Source organism: Homo sapiens, chromosome 18, assembly GCF_000001405.40.
Source record: "Homo sapiens chromosome 18, GRCh38.p14 Primary Assembly".
Lineage (NCBI taxonomy): Eukaryota > Metazoa > Chordata > Mammalia > Primates > Hominidae > Homo > Homo sapiens.
In genome coordinates, this window is record NC_000018.10 from 52,068,812 (window position 1) to 52,087,265 (window position 18,454).

At 35.6% G+C, this 18,454-nt stretch overlaps 1 long non-coding RNA gene across 4 annotated transcripts in view, besides 1 other annotated feature; it reads left to right on the forward strand.

Moving 5' to 3' along the window:
- Window positions 1-18,454, forward strand: part of LOC105372121 (uncharacterized) — a 175,442-nt gene that overhangs the window by 20,557 nt on the left and 136,431 nt on the right. The window lies entirely within an intron of this gene.
- Window positions 271-934: an enhancer, noted in NCBI's record as "OCT4-NANOG hESC enhancer chr18:49595452-49596115 (GRCh37/hg19 assembly coordinates)". NCBI's record gives its function as "activates a minimal SCP1, AML or CMV promoter by ChIP-STARR-seq in primed H9 embryonic stem cells {active_cell/tissue: H9 hESC(primed)}" and the evidence as "EXISTENCE:reporter gene assay evidence [ECO:0000049][PMID:30033119]".

The following is an 18,454-nucleotide window of genomic DNA, read 5'->3' on the forward strand; positions in this document are numbered from 1 at the left end:
TATCTGGACTACATTAATGTAGATATCCTGAATGTGATATTGTACTATAGTTTTGGAAGATGTTTAATCATTGGGGGCAACATAGTAAAGGGGACTTGGGGTCTCTCTATACTGTTTCTTCCAACTGCATATGAATATATGACTATCTCAAAATTAAAAGTTTAAGATAATTATGAATATCTGACTCTAGCCTCCCAGTTTGACCTATAATTTTTCCATAAGCAATAAGGGACTCCAAAAAGATTGATGTGAAAACTGCCAGAGGATCTTCATCATGTAATTTTCTAGGTGTGGGATGTTTTTTTACAATCCATTTGTAGCTGTCTTGGTTAAATTTTTTAACTTTGTGTTTCTTTTGATACCTTAAAGTCAATGCTATCTTTCTCTTACACTTAATATGTTCTTGATGAGTACAATGCTTCCATGGAATGCTACATATTTGGAAAAAAAGCCAGCAGAGTTCCCACAGGCTGGGCAACCTTCACTTTAGTATGACTCTCACTAGGAGGTAATGAGGTTCATTTGAAACCATCCTTTAACACTACTAATAAAAAGAAAGTTCAAAGGGATGGAACTTAAAACCCATTCATCATATAAGTAAACAACATTTGCATTTAAAAGGGATCGTTTTTTGCCCATTAAGTGCACACAAGAGGTTCTGGTAGCTTTTGATTTATCACCTCACATTTTCAGACTTCCTTTTTCTTTAAATATATAGCAAGTGCAAATCCCAAATCGAAATGCATGGTGGTGTACTAAATTTGAGGCAAGTGGCAAAAGGAAAAAATGTCATGAAATGCAATTTTATAATCTTTCATTGAATGACAATCACACTAAAAGTCTAGAGATAACAAATACAAGGGTTTCTGTCTTCTTTCTCCTCCAAAGCTTAGCACCGAGAGTTTCAAAGTCATTCACACAGGCAAGACCAGAAACTTTCAACACAGTTAACGCCTCTGATACCATTTCATGCCTCGATGACGTTGTTTAAGTTGGTTCGTTGGTCTGCATCTGGCTAACTCAAACTTAACCTAATAATTCACCTCTTCTTCTAGGAAGTCTCCTTCGACTCTTTAAGAAGTAGATGGCTTCTCTTTCTCTTGCTACTCCAGTATACATATTTCAGAGCATTTTATCATATTTAGTGAAAAATACCTCCAATAGTCTATGCCCCTTACAAAGAGGAATTATTCTTTATCCATTCCCCCTGTCCAAGTGCTTTATACAGTGTGCTCAGTAAATGTGGTAGAATCAGGGCAATAGTGAAATTATTTCTTTGGTATAGTTTTCAGAAAAGTGAAAGCAGTTTACAAAAGAAAAGTAAATAAGTTTATTTGAATGCTAGCATAGGGAATTCATTTTTAATTTAATAGACAGAAACAGATGTGGTTCACTGGATGCTTTTTTATGCCTGAACCTTCCTAACAGGGTGAGTGACTTTCATGTATTTATTACTATAAGATTGCAACTGCCTTGAGAACAGAAGCACCACTGTTCCTGCCCATAGAATAAGCCCTCAAACAATGTGTCTAGAATAAATGATTTACAAGGCCCAGAAAACACCACTGAAAGGCGACTCCCAGTGGGTGCAAAGGCCACTCTCTAATCACATTTGTTCTGTCCCATCCTCTGTTGTGCTCTCTGTGGGTCAGGAACTCTGTAAACTACTTCATGTATATGAACACGTCGTATTCCCAGATAATTCTGTGAGATAGATACTGTTTTAAAGGTGATGAAACTGCCACACCAAGAGGTTAGTAAATGAGTTCAAAGTCAAGGAAACTGTGAGTGACAGAGCCAGACTTTGAACTCAGCAGCCTCATTCCATCGTCAGTGCTATTAAATATTACATCATGTAATCTAGGCCTGGTGATACAAAGAAAACTGGAGTCCCTGCCTCAACTCCACTGGAGTTCTAGCCACTGGGACAGAAATGAGCAGAAATAACAGAGAGAGAATAAGGGAAGTCTTCAGCCTGTTATCTATGAAATTGGCAGGCTAACTTGATAGTTTGTAAATAGGGTAAATCTCAGACCCTTCACGGTTCTTGACAAAGGGACAGCTTCCAATCATTCAGTCATTTATTCTTTAAAAATAAAATAAAATCATGAGTGAAACACCATAGGTTACACTACTGAGGTTGCACAAGATGTTGCAAACGCCATTTCTTAGTGTCGTGACTTAATGGCGACAGTAAGTCTACAAAGTAGATGATCAAAATGGCAAGATAAGTTACCAATCCTGTAAGAACAAGATGAGAAGCCAATATAATAAAGCCATTTGCTTTCTTAGAAACAAACAAGAAAAAAAACAAAAATCAAACTATTTTGTTCTTTTTTATTAATCACAAAAATAAATTAATTCAATGAAGAACACTTGAAAAACAGGGATTGGGACAACAAAAATGACTTTTAATCTCAGTACCTTGATAAAACCACTATTAACATTACAAAATATCTTTTATGTGTGTTCGTGTGTGTGTGTGTGTGTGTGTATGCGTGCTTATGGTGTATGTGTGTGTAAAGAGTTGATTAGAGAAATAGAATCACACTGAACATTTTTATCCTGCTTTTTCTATTTTGCAACTCATCGAAAAATATTTTACATATTCGTCTACAATATAATGTACCTACACAGTATTTTATCATATAGACATATTTAGTTAACCAATTCTCTATCATTGAAAACTTTGGTTCTGTTTCTTCTCTATTATAACTAATGTAGATTTTCTTAATTTTTAATTTTTGTGAGTACATGGTAGGTATATATATTTATGGGATACATTAATGAGATATTTTGACACAGGCATGAAATGCAAAATAATCACATCAGAGTAAATAGGGTATCTATCACCTCAAATATTTTTCCTTTATGTTTCAAATAATACAATTATCATCTTTTTAGTTATTTAAATATGAACAATTAATTTTTTTTACTATAGTCACCCTGTCCTGCTAGCATATGCTAGGTCTTATTTATCTTATTTTATTGTACCCATTAGCCATTCCCTTCCCTCCACCTACTTACCCTTGCCAGCCTCTGGTAACCATCCTACTACTCTCCATCTCTATGAATTCAATTGTTTTAATTTTTAACTCCCACAGATAAGTGAGAACATGCAACGTTTATTTTTCTGTGCCTTGCTTATTTCACTTAACATAATGACCTTCAATTCCCTCCATACTGTTGCAAATGACAGAATTTCATTCCTTTTTATGGCTGAATAGTATTCCATTTTCTTTGTCTATTCATCTGTCGAGAAACACTTAGGTTGCTTCCATATCTTGGCTATCATGAATAGTGTTACAACAAACACAGGAGTGCAGATATCACTTTGATATTCTGATTTCCTTTCTTTTGGGTATACATCTAGTAGTGGATTGCTGGATCATATGGTAGCTCCAGTTTTAGCTTTTTTAGGAACCTCCAAACTGTTCTCCATAGTGGTTGTACTAATTTACATTCCCACCAAAGTGTATAAGGGTCCCCTTTTCTCCACATCCTTGCCAGCATTTGTTACTGCCTGTCTGTTGGATAACAGCCATTTTAACTGGGGTGGGATGATATTTCATTGTAGTTTTGATTTGCATTCCTCTGATGATCAATAATATTGAATGCCTTTTTATTACTTGTTTTCCATTTGTATGTCTTCTTTTGAGAAATGTCTCTTCAGATCTTTTGCCCATTTTAAAATCTGATTATTAGATTTTTTTCCCTATAGAGTTGTTTAGCTTTCTCCGATTCTGTGAGTTGTCTTTTCACTTTGTTAATTGTTTCCTTTGCTGTGCAGAAGCTTTTTAACTTGGTGTGATCCCATTTGTCTGTTTTTGTTTTGGTTGCCTGTGCCTGTGGGGTATGTTTTCTTTTAGTGGTTTCATAGTTTGAGGCCTTAGCTTTAAGTCTTTCATCAATTTTGATTTTATTTTTGTATATGGCAAGAGATAGGGATCAGTTTCATTATTCTGCATATGTATATCCAGTTTTTCCAGCACAATTTATTGAAGAGACTGCCTTTTCCCCGTGTATGTTCTTGGAACTTTTGTCAAAAATGAGTTAACTGTAGATGTATGCATTTATTTATGGGTTATCTGTTCTATTCCACTCATCTGTGTGTCTGTTTTTATGCCAGCACCTGCTGTTTCGGTTACTATAGCTCTGTAGTGTAATTTGAAGTCAGGTAACGTGATTCCTTAAGTTTTGTTACTTTTGCATAGGATGACTGTGGTTATTCTGGGTCTTTTGTGGTTCCATGTAAATGTTAAAATTGTATTTTCTACTTCTGTGAAGAATGTAATTGGTATTTTGATAGGAATTGCATTAAATCTGTAAATTGCTTTGGGAAGTATGGACATTTTAACAATATTGATTCTTCCAATTCATGAACATGAAATATCTTTCCATTTTTTGGTCTCCTTTTCAATTTGTTGTGTCAATGTTTTATAGTTTTCATTGTAGAGATCTTTCATTTCTTTGGTTAATTCCTAGATATTTTATTTTATTTGTAGCTATTGTAAATGGGATTACTTTCTCAATTTCTTTTTTGGGTTGTTCACCGTTGGCATGTAAAAATGCTACAGATTTTTGTATATGGATATTGTATCCTACAACTTCACTGAATTTGTTATTCAGTTCAAATAGCTTTTTGGTGGAGTCTTTAGGTTTTTCCAACCATAAATCTTATCTGCCACCAAGGATAATTTGACTTTTTCTTTTCCAATTTGGATGCCCTTTATTTCTTTCTCTTGTCTGGTTGCTCTAGCTAGGACTTCCAGTAGTAAGTTGAATAACAGTGGGGAAAGTGGCCTTCCTTGCCATGTTCTAGATCTTAGATAATTCAGCTTTCAATTTTTCCCTGTTCAGTATGATACTAGCTATGGGTCTGTCATGTATGACTTTTATTATGTTGAGGTATGTTACTTCTATACCAAGTTTTTCCTTTTTTTTTTTTGTTTCATAAAGGAATATTGAATTTTCTCAAATGCTTTTTCAGCAGCAATTGAAAGGTTCATATGATTTTTGTCCATCATTCTGTTGATATAATGTATCACATTGATTGACTTTGCATATGCTGGACCACTCTTGTATCCCTGGCATGAATCCCACTTGGTCATGATGAATGATCTTTTTAATGTGTTGTTGAATTTGGTTTGCTAGTATTTCACTAAGAATTTTTGCACCATTATTCATTGGTGGTATTGGCCTATAGTTTCCTTTTTTTGATGTGTCTTTGGTTTTGGTAGCAGGGTAATACTGGCCTTGTAGAATGACTTTGGAAGTATTTCCTCTACCTCTATATTTCAGAATACTTGAGTAGGATTGGTCTTTGTGTAGTATTGTTTTGTAGAATTCAACAGTGAAGCCATCGGGTCCTGGGCTTTTCTTTACTGGGAAAGTTTTAATTATAGCTTTTATTTTGTTATTTGTTATTAGTCTGTTTAGGTTTTGGATTTATTCATGGTTCAATCTTAAAGGTTGTACATATCTAGAAATTTGTCTATTTTTTATTAATTTTCCAACTTATTGGTATGTAGTTGCTTATAGTAGCCCACTAATGGGCTTTCAAATTTCTGCAAAATCAGTTATAATTTTTCATCTCTGATTTTATTAATTTTGGTCTTCTCTCTTTTTTCTTAGTTTGGCTAAAGGTTTGCCAACTTTGTTTAACTTTTCAGAAAACCAACTTTTTGTTTCATTGATCTTTTGTATTGTTTTCTTCATTTTAATTTCATTTATTTCTGCTCTGATCTTTATTATTTCTTTTCTTCTACTAATATTGGATTTGGCTTGATCTTGCTTTTCTAGTTATTTAAGATACATCATTGGGTTGTTTATTTGAAGTATTTCTTCTCTTTTCATTTAGGCACTTATAACTATAAACTTCCCTATTAGTACTGCTTTTGCCATATCCCATAGAGTTTGGTATGTTGTGTTTCCATTATCATCTGTTTCAAGAACTTTTTAATTTCCTCATTAATTTCTTTATTGACTCACTGGTCATTCAGGAGCATATTGTTTAATCTCCATGTATCTGTGTAGTTTCCAAAATTCCTCTTGTTACTGATTTCCAGTTTTATTCCATTTTGGTAAGAAGAGACACTTGATATTATTTTAATATTTTTGAATGCTTTAAGACTTGCTTGTTACCTAACATATGGTCTATCCTTGAGAACGATCCATGTGCTGAGGAGAAGAATGTGCATTCTGCAGCTGTTGGATGAAATATTCTGAAAACATGTTTTAAGGTCTATTTGTTCTATAGTACACATTAAGTCTGATGTTTCTTTGTTGATTTTCTGTGTGGAAGATATGTACAATACTGAGAGTGGGATGTCGAGGTATTCAGCTATTATTGTATCGGGGCCTGTCTCACTCTTTAGCTCTAATTTTTCTTTATATATCTGGATGCTACAGTGCATATATATTTAAATTTTCAAAAAATTCATATATATTTACAATTGTTATATCCTTTTACTGAATTGACCCCTTTTACCATTATCTAGTGATCTTGACTCTTTTTACAGTTTTTGTCTTGAAATCTATTTTGTCTGATATAAGTATAGCTACTAGTGTTCTTTTTTGGTTGCCATTAGCATGGATTATCTTTTTCTACCCTTTTATTTTCAATCTATGTGTGCCTTTAGAGGGGAAGTATGTTTCTTGGAGACAACAGTACAATGGATCTTATTTTTTTATCTGTTCAGCCACTCTATGTCTTTTGATTGGAGAGTTTAGTTCACTTACATTCAGTGTTATTATTGATTAGTAAGGACTTCTGACTTTTGTTATTTGTTTTCTGGTTGTTTTGTTATCTGCTTTTCCTTTTTTCCTTCCCTCCTGTCTTCCTTCAGTAAAGGTGATTTTCTCTGGAGATATGATTTAAATACTTGCTTTTCATTTTTTGTGTATCTGTTGTATATTTTTTCATTGAGGTTACCATGAAGCTTGCAAATACTATCCTATAACCCATTATTCTAAGCTGATAACAACACAGTTTGCATAAACAAGTGAACAAGAGAAAAAAAAAACTAATAAAAACTCTACATCTTAATTTTGTCTTCCTGCTTTTAAACTTTTTTGTTGTTTGTATTTATATCTTGTTGTCCTGTCTGTCTTGAAAAGTGGTTGTAGTTATTGTTTTTTATTAGCTCACTGTTTAGTATTTCTACTTAAGAGTAGTTTATGCACCACAGTTACAGTGTTATAATATTTTGTGTATTATTATAACTGTGTATTACACAGTTAAGTGTCATAATATTCTATTACCAGTGAATTTTGTACCTTCAGATGATTTCTTATTGGTCATTAATATCCTTTTCTTTCTAATTGAAGTGCTTCCTTTAGCATTTCCTGTAGGAAAGATCTGGTATTGATGACATCCTTCAGCTTTTGTTTTACTTGGGAATCTTTATTCCTTCTTTATGCTTAAAGGATATTTTTACCAGATGTATAGGTAAAAGTTTTCTTTTTAATGTAGACTTTAGTAATCTTATTTATTCTTTTGAAAATCAATGTTCTTTTTGATTGAAAAATTGTAGTTGTATACATTCCTGCAATACAATTTTATGTTTTGACACACACACATACACATACACACACACTCACATACACGTACAATGTGGAATGATTAATTCAAATGAACTAACATATTCATACCTCACTTATTTTTGTGGAGAGATGTTCTAAATTTGCTTTCTTAACTATTTTGAAATATACAATACATTATTTTTAACTAAGATCTCAAAAACTTCTTCCTGTTTAACTGAAACTTTATGCCTTTTGACCAACATCTCCACTTTGTGCCTTTTGACCAACATCTCCCTATCCCCTCCTTCAACCCCTCCCTAGCCTCTGGTGCCCACAATGTTACTCTCACATCTTTGCTCCTAAACTTGATTATTTCCCTAAAATAGATTACTGAAAATAAAACTGATGAGTCATAGACTATGCATATTGGATTTCCTTTATATATGTGCAATTTAAATACCTTTTAGAAAGATTTTAAGAATTTGTATCTTATTCAACTTCATTTTCCTTATAAACGTTGGAATTGTATTTTTAATGGATGAAAATTGTAAAATCATTTTATTTGTATTTAAGAAATACGGCTGAGAGGCTGTGAGCTTTATCTCTAAAGCAGGATTAATAATACTTCTCTTGTAGCAGTATTGGAGAAACATTCAAATAATGTATATAAGTTATAAACATTATGCCTAGCACAATGTATTTTCAAGTAAGTATTAGCTTTTGTTATTACAACTAGTAGTCTTTCATTAACAGTAAGACTGAGCATTTGACTGTGTCTATTTAAAAACTCGTAGCTCTGCTTTAATTTTCTCTTTCTTCCTGCATTGCAAAGTTTACCATTGTAACTTTTGTTACTTCAGTAAATCTTTCTGACACCTATATTTTGAGTATTTTTACCTATTTTGTCCTCTGCCATTTAATGTTGTCTACAGTAATTGGCTTTTATACCCAGAAGGGTAGAAGTCAGCCTTGTTCTCCAAATATTTCCAGGTCTCTTTACTTTCCTGCCCCCTTTAAAGTTAAACAAAAATACGACTTGCTTTGGCCAACAACCTGTGAGCAATAATGATTGCATCACTTCTGGGTAAATGCTTTAACGGCCAGTGCACGATATCCTATCCTCCTCTGTACTGATCATGACAGCATGTATAGAGACTATGTTAGCCTAGTTCCCCAAGTGACTCAGATGAGTGGAGCCTTCCTACCCTCAAAACAGGTAGACAAAATAAACCTCTCTTGTATTGAACTACTAACATTTGAGGATTGTTTATTAGGGTAGCGTAATGTACCATATCTTTACTGATACAAGGATATTTTTGTTTGGTTTATTATTTTTTTGAAATGTGGTCACATTTAGCCATCTTTCCCCTAGAGGTACTGCTTTTGATGTTATGCTGAGAAAGTCCAGGAGGACCGTTCTGATCATTGGCATGCCCAAACATGCGCTGCTGAATGGCCTTTGAGGTAGCGAATTATCTGCATATGAATGTTTTTAATCAGAAGTTATGACTGTATGTCAGGGATGCTGTGTAGTAATATATTATGTGTGTAATCAGAGTAGTAGTTGACCTTTAAGTTTCCTTCTAGCTATTTGGATGTTAATTGTAAAACATAGTTGCTACTCTCAGGGGAACTTGCAAGCTACCTCAATATTTGCAAAGACAAGGTGGAATCTGGGAAAAAGATACTTCCATCTTTTTTCAAATAATCAATAATGAATATGTAGATAAAACAATGCCCAATTTGTACAATAGATATAAATTTGCATGTATATTAAATCTCTGTGTATATTAAAGTTCTATGCTCTATATTAAAGTTCTGTGCTCTTTAGCATCTCTTCAGTGATGTAATTTGGCCCAAATAGTACAAAATAAAAAGTAATACTTTCCTATGTAACTTGAACATATTTCCTATTGACTCTACGTTTTTGTTGTTGTTGATTGAGTTGTTCTATACACCAAGCTACTAAGTAAAGACAGAGATGAGGGATGTGGAATCCTGCTGGGGGATGATTCTTAAAACAGCATTAATTGGAGAGATCAGTATTTCTCACCTGTTCTAACCAGGGTAATGCTTTAAGAAGTTGGTGAAGAGAATAGAGCAAGCTTTGAGCCTATGAACTGCCTCACATCAACGGTTTCCTTTATTCTCCATGCCGCCAAGCGACTCGAGTACAGAGCAAGCTTTGCCACTCAAATGGGTTCCCAGGATTTATTTCCACCTGTGCTTCCCAGCCTCCTCCTTATATTTCCTATGAGTCTTGAATTTTGGGGGAGAAGACTCAATGTATGTAAAAGCAGAAAAAATAATTTGAAAATGTATATTAAAATATTCTTCCTAACTGTGTATTTAGATTCTCTGAAGAAAAGTACAAAAGGATGAGCAATGAAGGAAACTATAACCTTATTAAATTTTGGTTGAGAAAATTTCTGCTACTGAGGATGGCACATATACTTTTGTAAATGATTTTTTCCTTCAGCATAGTAACATTTTGTTCCCATCTCTATCAGCTTTTTCACCCTTGGAACCCAAGTGTGTGTGTGTATGTGTGAGTGTCTGTTGCTCAGAGAAGGTGTGTTGGGGCAGGAGAGAACTCCAATATAATCCTATGCTACCACTGATGTTGCAAATATCTGAACTTGCTCTCAACAGTGAAGATGAGTGGCTAATTTTATGTGTCAGTTTCAAAATGCTAGGAAGAAACATTGTGAAATATATAACAATATTTTCTTCAACATTCACCTTGATTCCCTTCTCAATGCAGTTTTTGAAATTTAGGTATGCAGAAGGCCACTCATCTCTCCTCCCTCTCTCCTCCTCTCTTTTCATTACAGCCCCTCAACTGGGTCTAGCATTCCTCTACACAGAGTTCCTTTGTTAATCTTCACAAATTAAATCTCCTACATTTTGTTGGTGTTTACCCTTTAAATTCATCTTAACTTTGAGAGAAGCTGATGCCATCATTACTCCACAAAGTAAATCAGATTGGTTATTGATTGGCTTTTTCCATTATGGTCTAGAATTTGGCTTTCTGGGGTTTGTCTTCAATACATATTTCTATAGTATAATTGTAGCAGTGTTTTATGAGGAGAAAATATTACATGTGGATTCAAATGGCCTCTTTCTCACAGAGGTTCTCTAGATTCTATTTTAATTTTGATTGACATAGGTTATATAACATTTAACTTTGAGACAAGGGTGCTTGTTTTCCTACATATTGTAGGGAATACATTTACTTGTCATATGAGTGTTATAGGAAATCAAATCTGAGTTTACATCAAATTTGCAAATTAAATCAAGAGACTATAATTTCATTTCTTATTAACTCAACAGATGTAAAAACGAATCAGATTCTCTTGAACTGAGGAAACAACACTTTTTTACCCTCTTTCAAGTACAATAAAAGTTACTCTAAGTATCGATTCTAGTAATAACATTTTAAAAACTGTAAGGAATCTTGACTTTGTCCTCAATGTAGTGGTTCGTCTTCTAACCTCCAGTACTCATGGATTACAGTTTATTCTTCTTTGGAAGATAAAAGGGAAGGAAAATATTGAGTTTTTTTCCTTGATAAATTTGTATTCTGATTTGGGAGATAAAATTATGACATTTACATGTAATTGGGAATTAATTGGATGTGCAACAAATCAGAATAATAGCTTTTCACATATCTGTAATATCTATAGAATTAAGTTAATATATACGTTCACTCATATTTTTATGTCCATGTTTCCATGGTTTAATTACTTAAGTTTAAAAGTGTACAAATTGTATTCATTAAATATTTCCTTTAGATTGTAATCCTTTGAAATCAGCAATATCACTTTTTGCATTTTTTAATTTTCTTAAATAATTCTATGCCTATTCTAAAACAGTGCTAAGAGTGGTACCAATTCATATACATTTAATAAAGTTACAGTTAAATTTTTATATACCTGGAGGCTATAAAGACTAGGTAAAACATTGAATTATAAAAAGAGGGAAAACACATCTAAGAGAAATAAGCAAAAATAAATAAAACAATGTTTATTTAAATATATCTTTTATAAATCCAAAACCATTTGCTTTCATTTGCTTTTCTGAGAGTTAGTTGATGGCCCAACAATCTCCTTCTGATCCTTACCCAGTATCCCAGCCTATAAAAAATTTATACTCAAGTTGGAGACCTTGAAGTGCTGTGTTACACATGAAATAATATACTTATGTTGCTCATGATGGGTTCTACTTGAAAATGGCAAATTAGTTTTAAGAAATTTTTGTTTTAAAGTAAATCATCTTACTGAATTCTTATGCTTTACAAGGTTTTGTTGTAGGTGCCTGAAGAATACAAAAATAAGGCACAGTCCATGTCATTAAGGATTAAAATTTAATTGAGAAACAAAATAGCCACAAATAATGATTTAACTAACAAAGTGCCAAATGAGGACACTACATGAGTTCATATAAAAAGATTATTAATGATACTGCTACTAATAAAGCTAACAAGTATTTATATAGCACATATGTTTAAGCACTATTCTGAACACTTTACATGTATTAATCCATATTAATTTTCATAGTAATCATACGAGGTAGGTACCTATTATGTTCATTTAATAGTTGAGGAAATTGATACATGGAAAGGTTAAGTAACTTACACAAGGTAACACAACTGGTAATATAGCTTGGAATTAAAACCAGAAAAGCAACATTGTAGAACATTAGAGAAGGGTATTCACAGAGTAAAGTGAATTGGAACATGAAACATGTTAATCACCAGAAAGACATGGGATGAGATGCTCAACTTTATGTGAATCAAAGTTTGAAAGTAAACATATGCAAAACTAGGAGGGGGTGGGAGCAAAACGGTGGAATAAAAGGCTCCATCAATCCTTCCCTCCCAAGGACACCAAGTTAACAACTGCCTGCACAGAAAAATCACCTTCCTAAGAATCAGGTGAGCATGTATGGTACCTGGTTTTAACTTCATATTGCTGAAAGAGACACTGAAAAGATAGAAAAAAACAGTCCAGAATTGCGAAGGCCACCTCTCCGTACCCACAGCAGTGGCAGTGTGGTGTGAACAGTGTCCCTGGGCACTGGGGAAGGAAGAACACAGCAATTGTGAGGCATTGAACTCAGTGCTGTCCTGTTAGAGCAGGAAGAAAGACCAGACCAAACTCAGATGATGCCAACCCACGGAGGGAGCATTTAAACAGCCCTAGCCAGAGGGGAATTGCTGATCCCAGGGGTTGGAACTTAAGTGCATGCAAACCTTGCCACTGAGGACTACAGTGTTCTGTGTCTCCAGGTAAACTTGAAAGGTAATCTAGGCCACAAGGACTGCAACTCTAAGGTGAGTCCTAGAGCTGAACTAGGCCCAGGGACAGTGCACCGGGTGGGCATGCAACATATTGAAACACCAGCTCAGACAGCCAAGGGAGTGCCAACATCCCCCGTCCCCTAATCCCAGACTGCACAGCTGGCAGCTCCAAAAGAGACCCCTTCCTTCCAGTTGAGGAGAGAATAGGGAACAGTGGGGAGGACTTTGTCTTACATCTAGGATACCAGCTCAACCACAGTAGGATAGGGCACCGGTCAGAATCATCACCTGTTCTAGGCCCTAGCTCACATTTCTAGACACACCCTGGGCCAGAGGGATATGCAAAACTAGTTCAGATTTGCATGAGCTCAGATATTATATAAGGTGAACATTTAAGTAAGTATGAGGTGAATGTATAATTTCTTTTCCAAACTGGGGCACTTTTAAGAGTGAAAGGAAGGGGCTGTTAACTGTGATGCTTGGACCACAGGCACATCTGTGACTGTTCCATGCAAATGAGACCTATGGTCACCCTCATTATGTCCCTCACTCAGTCAGTAGAGGGACCCTCATAAATTGGTTCTGACAATGGAGATTATGTGATCAGGGCTAGCCTCCCCATATCAGACTGTATAAAATGCAGGAGAGAAAAATAAACTTTAGCTCTATACTCAAGATTGGGCTCAATGTTGTCACTCCAGTGCAATTGTCTCTGACACTGTAACCCCCTGGACTTTGGATTTTGCCTTCTGAGAGCTGTTTTTCTTCTTTTACTCGTCTTGTATTAATGGATTTCTATGGACACAAACTGACTTGCTTGAACTTATGCAATCCACATCATCATTTGGGGTATGTCAACAACTGCAGAACCTGACCTATACTCTGTTTAACTTATGGAACTTGTCAAGACTCTTCCTGCAGAGCCAAAATCCTGTCTTTTCTAGAATCATAGCTACTCTTGCTAGATCTGGCTCTTTACCACCTGTCAATGTGATGATCTTTCTTATACAGTGGAGTTGTTGTACAAAAGTTGGAGTGGGTCCTGCATCGAGTAAGCATATTTTCTGTAGCTGGAGCATGGGGGTCAGACAGAGGGTTATTAGTGGATTTTAAGAGGAAAAATGACAAGATGAAAATCAATGGAATTTCTCAGTAAATGTAAGTTAGACCACAATGAGAGATTGAGAACAGCAAAACCAGCCAGGATGACACATAATTATCTATAAATTAAGTAACAGATACTTACCTCACGGTGACAGCAGTGAGAATCCAAAGGAAAACACAGGTCAAAGAAGTATTGCAAAATAAGAATCCTCATGGCACAATAACTTTTCCAAACCTGAAATATGACTAAGAGTTCTTTAGGTTCTGTGAATCAGTGAATAATCTTAATTTATTTTATGTTAGTTTGGGCAAGGTAGAAAATGCTTGTGTTTCTTCTTTATCCTCCCACAGAATACATACTATTATGTAATTTTCAATGTATTTCAACTGTCTTTTATTCAGAAATACTTTCTCTAGAGCAAATAGTGCATTCGGCTTTTTATATGCAAGGTTTAGCTCACTGGCTGGAACTGGCTGGCACAGGATGGTGTTAAGTGGTGGCTTTGTCAGCATAGTTAGGTTGGAAGTATGTTTCCATGAATTTTCTTCTCTGTATGGCTTCAGGTTTGGATTGGCACAGGAGAGATGGGCATGATGTTTGCATGGTGGAAGTAAAGCAGCAGATATTTTTTATTCCTTGAAGATTGGCACATGAACAGTGGCAGCACACACCTGTTAACAATCTGCTAGCTCACCTTGTAGTATGTGGCAGTTTGTGATAATCAGGTGCTGATGGAAGCAAGCAAGACTTTGAGGGTCCAAGAATATGGCATAGAATAACTTAGTGAAAGTAAGGAGTATAATAAGGCTAGTTGATGCTCTCAAGTGTGGTGGAGAACTTGTGGAAATAAAATTTTAAGCCCAGAGCTTTGAATTCCCAGCTCAATGTCTGGGAAGAATCCAGGAATCTCTCAGACTGCCCTAAAGGAAACCTTTATTTCTTATAACATCATGGCTGAGATTGCTGAATATTGAATACAAAGTCTAAACCTGTACATAGTAATTATTACACAAATTGAATTGTTAATTACACAGGATCTTTTATGTTAAAGTTAGGACATTTGTGTGGAAGGACTAGCATCCTAAAAACTGGATTCACATGTGAAGACTCTAATGAAGCTGACGGTCCAGCTCCTAAATTTTACTGACCCTCTTTTACCAGTAGAAGCCCCCTTTCTATTCCTGTCTGAAGAGATGAGTATTACCTTGCCTGAAGAACCTGAAATGGTCTTCCATTAGGTATGTTCCTTGCAGAGGACTGCTGTTCCTCTTCAAGCCCTATATGTTGTAAACTGAAATATAAAATTCTGAGGTCCCCAACCGTCTGATTGGATCCCTCCTGTCGGCCAAGTGCATTTCTAAGTTAACCTGAAAAACTTGTTCATGTCATGAGGGAAGGGGATTTTGAACATGCCTCATTATACCTTCCTTCCTTCCTTTTGGAATTCAGAAAAAGCTGAATAACATTAACATCAACACAGATCTTAAGTCTGGTAAGAAACATTTACAATCCATTCTGTCTGAAGCCTGCTACTTGGAGACTTCATCTGCATGACAAAACTGTATCATGACCTAGACATTTTTTCCTGTTGATAATAGCTCATTCAACCAATTCCCAATCAGAAAAAAAATTAAATCTACCTATGACCGGGAAGCCCCTGCTTTGAGTTGTCTTGCCCTTCCAAACTAAACCAATGTAAATCTTACATGTATTGATTGATGTATTATGTCTCCCTAAAAGATATAAAAGTAAGCTATATCCTGACCACCTTGGGCACGTGTCATCAGGACCTCCTGAGACTATTTCATGGGCATGTCCTTAGCCTTGGAAAAATAAGCTTTCTAAGTTGATTGAGACCTTTGTCAAATACTTTTGGGTTCACAATGTGAATCTTCCATTGCTTCTTGACTTGTAACCAAACTCAAATCCTAGCAGTGCCTGAGAAAGTAAAGCACAAAATATGACCTATGAGGAGGTATAATATAGAATAGAAGAATTGCAAGGTATGGCCAATGTATGTTGAGAGCAGCCTGGGGAGCAAGTACAGGAATGGATTCTAGGTGTGTTGGAGAAGGGTAGAAAGAGTAAAATATTGTATTGGAATGAATTTGTTAATATGGCTTAACTAAGCAGTAATTCTAGAATCAATGTTAGCTGAGTAACTAGGAGTCTCTCTAACAGTTTTCTTGGTGATTTGATTGAAACCTGTATCCCAAAGCATCCTAGACAAAGTGAAGTTAAAATGCCAAAATTTTCTTGGCATATTTTAAAGGAAGACTTTCAAAAGCTTAGGGAGCTCTGAAGGCTATGATACATTTTCCAAGTAAGACTTACTTATCCATCCCTAATGACATTTCTGGAGGTCCAGAAGACAATTCTTAACCAAAGCAGTGATAGAAACATTTATAAGTAGAGCATCTTTTAAGAGTTCTTTGATGGCTATTCTGTGTCAGCCGAGGATGACAGTGGGACCTGCTGCCATCAAACTGGCTCCCTGAATTAAATAGGGATGATAGGTTGGGGGCTGGTAGTGGCCAAATGGTAGGATTTAATCATCAAAGACAAAGTGGATTTAGTTATGGTAACAGCCATCAGAGCCAAGAAATAACCAGAATTGTCTGCCTACAGAGATCATTGTCATGGCTGAGTTGATCATAGTGTTTCTAGAACTGAAATAGATGAACAGCCTATTAGAGTTTTACTTGATTTATACAAATAAAAAACTCTAATCCTGGAGAACACATGTCTAATATGTATCATCTCAACAGTGAATCCTGGGCTTTCAAAAAAAATTCTGGGTTTAAGCTGGGCCTTGTGGTTCCCACCTGTAATCCCAGTATTTTGGGAGGCCAAGGCTGGTGGATCACCTGAGGTCAGGAGTTTGAGACCAGCCTAGCCAACATGGTGAAACCCCATCTGTACTAAAAATACAAAAATTATCTGGGTGTGGTGGCAGGCATCTGTAATCCCAGCTACTCGGGAGGCTGAAGCAGGAGAATTGCTTGAACTCAGGAGGCAGAGGTTGCAGTGAGCTGAGATCGCACCGTTGCACTCCAGCCCAGGCAAGAGAGTGAGACTAGATCTCAAAAAAAAAAAAAAAAAAAAAAAAATTCTGGATTTAAGCCAGTTTGAAGGGTTGAAACCCATTGAATGATGGGGAGGTAAGGTTTCCTTAAGGAATGACCCTGCTAACAGTCAAAATTTAATCTTTAAATATACCTAGACTTCCTCAAAGGAAGTTGAGGCCATTTATCAGTGGGTTGTGCATAGACAAAGGGAAAATAAACAGCCTTTTTGGGGATGACGATATACATTTTTGGAATTGACACTTTCTTGGAGACCCAAAGTTTCAATGTGGTCCATAAATTAAAGAAGAAAATTATGGAATCCAGGAAATCGAGTTTTGAATTGAGTTCATTTCACAATGAGTCCAGTTGTTACCTCAAACACCTGCATTCATAGCCCTACTTTTGCAATGCATGGTTGAAATAAATATACTCAGAAAGTGGCAGAATCTATACAGTGTTTCCCTGACTCATGAAATGAGGACAATTATGGTAGTGTGTGGGCAGACGTCGAAGGATTTTCCCCAAGAAAACAATCACCTGGTTATTCAATAAAATACTAATATAGGCATTGCCATAAAGAGAATTCTTCAGATGAAATAACCATTCCAAATTAATTGACCTTTAGGTACAGAGAGATTATCTGAGTGGGCTTCATTTAATCTCACCTCCCTTCAAAGCTGAGAGTTTCCTCCAGGTGATGGCCGAAGGTCAAGTCAGAGAGATCTGAAGCAAGGAAGGGATTGGACACATCACTGCTGGTTTGAAGAATGAGGGGGGCACATGATGAATGAAGCAGGCAGGTTCTAGGAGGTGAAAGCAGCCCCTAGCTGATAGCCAACAAGGCAATGAGGACTTTAGTCCTAAACCTATAGGATCTGAATTCTGTCAGTTACAAGAATGAGCCAGGAAGAGGACCCTGAGCTCAAAATGAGAATGCAGCTGGACAACACATTGATTTCACCATGAGCAGAGAACCCATCCATGCCATGCCAGACTAAAGAACTGTGAGCTAATAAGTGGGTGCTGTTTTAAGCCACTAATCTTATGGTAATTTGTTAAGCAGAATAAAAAAACTAATACACGTAGGAAAGTTCAAATGGAGGCCACTCTAATTTTCTCTCTCTATCAGAATTATAAAATAATAATAATACAACATTCCTAAGGGAATTGTAGAATTGTCACTATCAAGGACTTGAACATTGCAAGTGATGATGATTTCTAAAACAACTTCATTCAATTAACTTTTTTGGCCTGTGATGAAAGCAGATGAATATTGATGAAGGGCAGTAGACTATTATAAATTTAATGAGATAGCTCCAATTGTATCTGTTCATCCAGATGTGGTTTCATTGCTATGGCAGATGAACATATCCCCTGGCCCCTGGTATGCAGTTATTTATCTGGCAAATACTTTTATCCTCTGTACCTATTAGTCAAGACCATCAGAAGTAATTT